The sequence below is a fragment of the Homo sapiens genome, chromosome 12 (genome assembly GCF_000001405.40).
Source record: "Homo sapiens chromosome 12, GRCh38.p14 Primary Assembly".
Classification (NCBI taxonomy): domain Eukaryota; kingdom Metazoa; phylum Chordata; class Mammalia; order Primates; family Hominidae; genus Homo; species Homo sapiens.
In genome coordinates this window covers 33626222-33632221 of record NC_000012.12, presented here as the reverse complement: position 1 = coordinate 33632221, position 6000 = coordinate 33626222, and positions in this window count along the sequence as shown.

Below are 6000 nucleotides of genomic sequence, written 5' to 3'. Positions count from 1 at the left end.
AGGGACAGACCAGAAGACCATGGGTGTGAGAAAGAGCAAACTTTAACAAAAGGGTCTGTGAATAGCTAAGTAGACTACAAATACAATTAAATTATTCATTTATCTTAAAAATATTTTGGAAGTGTCTATGTATACATAAATGTTTTGAACAAAACACTCATTTGGTTTCTTCTGTGCTTTCATTTTTCTTTGTATCTTCAGTGTTCTCTATTTAGCACATCAGTGTTTCCACAATTAATTGCACTGTCATCTTTGAATAAATTACATTTTCAACTAAATATACTTTTGGTAAGATACTGAGCTATTCACCTTGTATTACCAACCTTAAGAGATGGACTTTCTAAAGCATTGTGTTTTAATAAGTGTTCTATTTGTGTTTAATAAATGTTAATAAATATTTTGTTGCTGACAGATAGCATTATTTGATATTGGAAAATCAAAAATCATTTCCCAATATATGTTGAAAGGAAATATGAAATGAAATTTTGAATTTTATCTAGGGATTTAAATCAATGAGGGCAACAAATATGATCATTCTGGCCAATCTTATTTTGTCTTCAATAACAATTTGTTTGAAGCTGCTTATGTGAACAACCGTTTAAATTTATCACCTAATTTTTCTAGTGAACAACACAAACTTTGGCAATTTCTAAATTAGTCAGTGAAGAACTATATATTGAGTCTGATTCTTCCCTATGTCCTAAAGCGAAAATAAACACCACTATGTCTGAATGAAATGTAAAGCACAATTCAGCCAGCCTCTACTGTGTTTTTCTACATAATATCATATATATGACTATAGAAAGCATCTAGTTTGGTTATAGAACAAACTCTTTCCCAATTAATTCATTGCTTGACTTATAAGAAAAAATGTACACCATTATCGCATATAATCATGAGACATAGCTTTACATACAATTATTAATGAAAGATGCCAAATGGGACAGAGCCATCTATATAATTTAAGCTATATGAAATATTTTATGATAGCCAAACACCATGCGTTAACATAGGTTCTATAACAAAGCCATAGCAACTGATTATAAATTATTTTACATTGGTCACTAAAAGAAAACATTACTCTAATTGATGCGTTTACTAGTATCTTTCAGAAAATTCATTTAGATCTTTGGGAAAAAAAAAAGCTTGCTCAGATGTTTGGAAGTAAACGGAGCACCTGGATGACTACGTCTTCTCTCCTCCAAGTCATGAAGGAGTCAAGCATGGCCATACTGCTTTCCTACTCACTGAACAGCTACACTTTGCTTTGCATAACAGATGTGTCCCCAATAAGCCTTTTGCAAATTTAATTCCATTTTCAAGAAATGTGTGCAATTTCCTATTTAGAAGTTGCCATTACTGAACCATTTTTCAATAAAGTAAATTCCAAAGCCATTTTCTAATCTGTTCATATTGTTGAAGCAAATCTAGATTTTCACAAGCTCCTTTTAGGACAAAAACATATGCACGTTATTACAGCTTTCCCTACTCTTGTGCACCAATGTGAAACATCATGCTATTTCCTGCAAACAGAAATAGTACACACATACATATATACACATATATTACTGGATTTCTTTTTATATTCATATAGGTACATATATATTTCATATACATATATGAATTTACATATGTAATGCATACATTACTGTATTTTTTACATATAATACATGTATACTTTAAAGGTAATATCTTTCTGATAGCACCCTTTGTCAAGATAGGTTCTCAAAATATACATATTGGTTGATGGATATAAGTAAATGACAGACTGGCTTTCTAGTCCCTTAGTTCTTTGGCATAAAGTACTACAGTTCCTTCAATGCCTAAACAGAAGTGAAGGTCCAAGAACAAATATGGGTGCACCAAACAAACTAACATCACTTAAACATTGTTTAACAATAGTTCCACTTGCATGGGTGAATATTTTTTGGCCAAGAAAACGTTTCTACTAGATTTACAAGAAATTTTTATTTTTATTAAGTTGGCTGATTGAACAAGCTGAACACTGCAAAATACAATCAACAAAAAACATTTTTCTATTTCCCACCTCTGCTTTCAAATATGTTTTTTGGAATCTTCATTTTTTGCTTCTAGATATCTCTTGCAGATACTTATCTTTCTGATCATTTTCACATATTAGAACCATTACATTTTCAGGTATTGAAAAGTCAAGTCCAATTTAAATCATAACTTCAATGTCTTTGCGTGCTGAAACATTTTCCACAGCCCCCTTTTCCTAGTTAACTCCTGCTAACCTTCACATCTTGGCTCAATCATTGCTGAGACAGAAGGAATTTCTTGACATATCTGATAATATCACATCAAAAGAAAATTCAGAAACTTATAGGAATATTAATAAAAGTATTTTTACTTGTAGTGCTCACAAGAGTCCAACCTTTGGAAGAACTGGACTTTTACATAAATGATATAGCAAGTATTTACAAAACAAAATTTTGTTTGTCAAATTTTGTGCTCAAATATTACAGTTGTCCCTTGTTAACTGCATTGGTTCCAGGACCCTTGACGTTACCAAAATCTGCCAATACTCAAGTCCCTTATATAAAATGTTGTTTTGGTACATAACCTATGCATATCCTCCTGTATACTTTCCATCATCTCCAGGTTATTATACCTAATACAATGTAAATACCATTTACATCATTGTTATATTGCATTTTTTTTATTTGTATTATTTGTATTGATGTGTTATTAAATTTTATTATTTAATTATTTTTTAAAATATTTTTGATCTATGATTGATTGAATCTCTGGATGCAGATCCCTCAAATATGAAGGGTTGGCTGTATATGCCAAATACTTTTTAATATGAAAAGATTCCTGTCCTCAGAGAGACTCATCTTCAAAACTTTCTTCCAAACTTTATCATACACCCAAATACTACTTGATTTCTCCACTCAGGTGTCACTTAGAGACTTCAAATTAATCTGTCCAAGACTAAACCTATGAGCTTTATTCAGTCTTTTATCTTGGTAATCAGCATCACCACCTGTCAAATTGTACAAGATAAAAATCTAGTTATCCCACCATATTTCTCTCTGTTCTCCCCCAACACCAAATTCAATCGTTCACCAAAAGTTATCATTTCCAAATCAGTCTTTACATCTATCCGATCTGGCCATTTTACCCATCCTTGGTATAGCTACTTCGAGGTGACCGTCGTCTCTCTCCTAGTTCACGGCAATGGCCTCCCAACAGGCCTCCTTCACTCTAATCTGGAGTGCTCCCCAAACAAACCATTCCCAGTCCTTTCCTTAGAACCATTTTTCTAAGGTGCAAATGTCATCATGCCATTCCTACATACAAGTCTTCTACTTTCTTCATAGCCTCATTTATGACAGCTTCCCACCTTACAGTTTATACTTCAATCATACTTACCTACTAGTACATCCACAAAACTCCATGCTTGGTCTCACTGCCCAGCGTTTAGACAAGTAACACGGCTGCCTGATATGTCCTATCACCTCACTTTTCCAGTGGCCAGCTTTCTCCTACACATTCCTCAAAATTCAGTTTAGGTTAAATAGTATTCCATTGGGTATATTACACCACATTTTCTTTTACCATTCGTTGATGAACACACGGTGGCTTTAGTTAATAACTGTATTGTGTTCTTGAAAATTGCTAGGAGAGCAGATTTAAATATTCTCACCACAAAGATGAAAAGTATGTGAGGTAATGCATATATTAGTTAGCTTGATCTAGCCATTCCACAATGTATACATATTTCAGAACAACTTCTAACACATAATAAACATATACAATTTTATTTGTCAATTCAATACATAAAATATTTTTTAAAACCACTCAACCTTGGCATGACTTTTGTCAGGAAACCTTACCTGACTCTCAGCACAGTGCTCCTTCTGTTTGCCTCTACAGTCTGGATTTATGTCTACCATAGCACTCCCCCTACTGCCTGTTCTTCATAGCTTCTTCCCTCACTACTTTGTGAGTTAAATGAGCACAGGGGTTTTGCTTTATTTTTCTCTTTATCTCCAGTGCTTGGCACAGCGGCACATTTAGTAACCAAATGGATAAATAAAAGGTTCACAGTATAATTAGGGTGAAAGCTGGATTAAAAAAAAGAATGACATATTTTACTTAAGAAGACATATAGGAGGTAACACCACGTAGTGATTAAGAGCATGGACTCTAGGACCAGACTGCTCATGCCAGGGGCACCACTAAAAATTCAAGCCAGTGACAGTTTATCTGTAGCTTAGCTCCCTTGTGAAATGAGGCTAACAATATTGTCTCCCTGCAGGGTTGTTAGCATTAAAGAAGGTAAAGCATGCAAAATTCTAAGCAATTAAAACAATTAAAAGTGTCAAAAAAAAAAAAGCATGGTTTATATGCTTAAGAGAAGAAAAAGTTTGGGAGCATGAGTAATAAAGGAACTAGATTAAAAAGTGCTAGTAAGTAAAGACGTGGTGAATGAAGAGATTTTTGAACAAACTATTTGCGTATTTTGAATCAGAGTAGAATCTTACCAAGTGGAGAATGTAGCAATCCCAAGCAATTGTGTCTAATTTGTAAAGTATTCCTTTGTTTTTAAGAATGATTGAGTTGGTTAATATTTTTAAGTGACATATTTTTCATCAGTACAAATGTATTTCTTTGTTTGAAACAGTTTTATAAAATTGTATTATTTTTCTGCTTTCACTCTATTTAATTTTAGAGCATGCACACCACTTCCTAAATAACACATAATGCAAGGCAGTTTGCATTTTAGTTTAGAATTCTATGAAGACCAAGAATAATGGTTTAAGTTTTTAATTATTTTCTCCACGAACTGCATAGAAATGAAATTAAGTGAAGAGTGCAAGGAAGTTACATTAAGTGAAATTGTAGAGGGGTGACATTAAGTGATGGCTTAAGATACACCACAAAGAGTTGCCTAGAATTACACCTGATAACAATCGTTCTCTCCTTTAGTTTCTCTTTCCCCATGCAAGTCATGTTAGTAAAAACCAATGTAAGCAAGCAAACTCTTGCTTATCAATCCAATCCAAATTTTTATTTCTCTTCTTTTTTTAAAGACAGAGTAGGTCGGGCGCTGTGGCTCACACCTGTAATCCCAGCACTTTGGGAGGCCGAGGGGGGCAGATCACCTGAGATTGGGAGTTCGAGACCAACCTGACCAACACAGAGAAACCCTGTCTCTACTAAAAGTACAACAAAATTAGCTAGGCGTGGTGGCACATGCCTGTAATCCCAGCTACTCGGGAGGCTGAGGCAGGAAAATCCCTTGAACCCAGGAGACCGAGGTTGCGGTGAGCGGAGATCGCACCATTGCACTCTAGCCTGGGTAACAAGAGCAAAACTCTGTCTCAAAACAAACAACAGCAACAGCAACAACAAAAAACCCAGGGTCTCACTCTGTCACCCAGGCTGGAGTGCAGTAGTGCAATCATGGCTCACTTCAACCTCAACCTCACAGACTCAAAAGATCCTCCCACCTCAGCCTCCCAAGTAGCTGGGACTATAGGCCACCACACTTGGCTAATCTTTTGAGTTTTTCATAGAGAGGGGGTCTCACTATGGTGCTCAGGCTGGTCTCAAACTCCTGGGCTCAAGTGATTCTCCCACCTTGGCCTTCCAAAGTGCTGGGATTACAGGTATAAGCCATCATACCTGGCCAATCCAATTTTTTTCCTTGACTTTTTATTTATTTAATTTTAACTTTTCATTTTAAATTCATGGTATATGTGATGGTTTGTTGTATAGGTAAACTCATGTCATGGGGTTTGTTGTACAGATTATTTCCTCACCCAGGTATTAAGCCTAGTACTCAATAGTGATTTTTTTTATTTATTTTTTATTTTTTTATTATACTTTAAGTTCTAGGGTACATGTGCACAATGTGCAGGTGATTTTTTCTGTTGCAGTAGAAGTTGGAAATAAAATGTGGACATGTATTTTCTTGGAATGCCTTATTAAACTTTGCAATGCTTCAGCTGAAAGGTCTATAAAATTGAA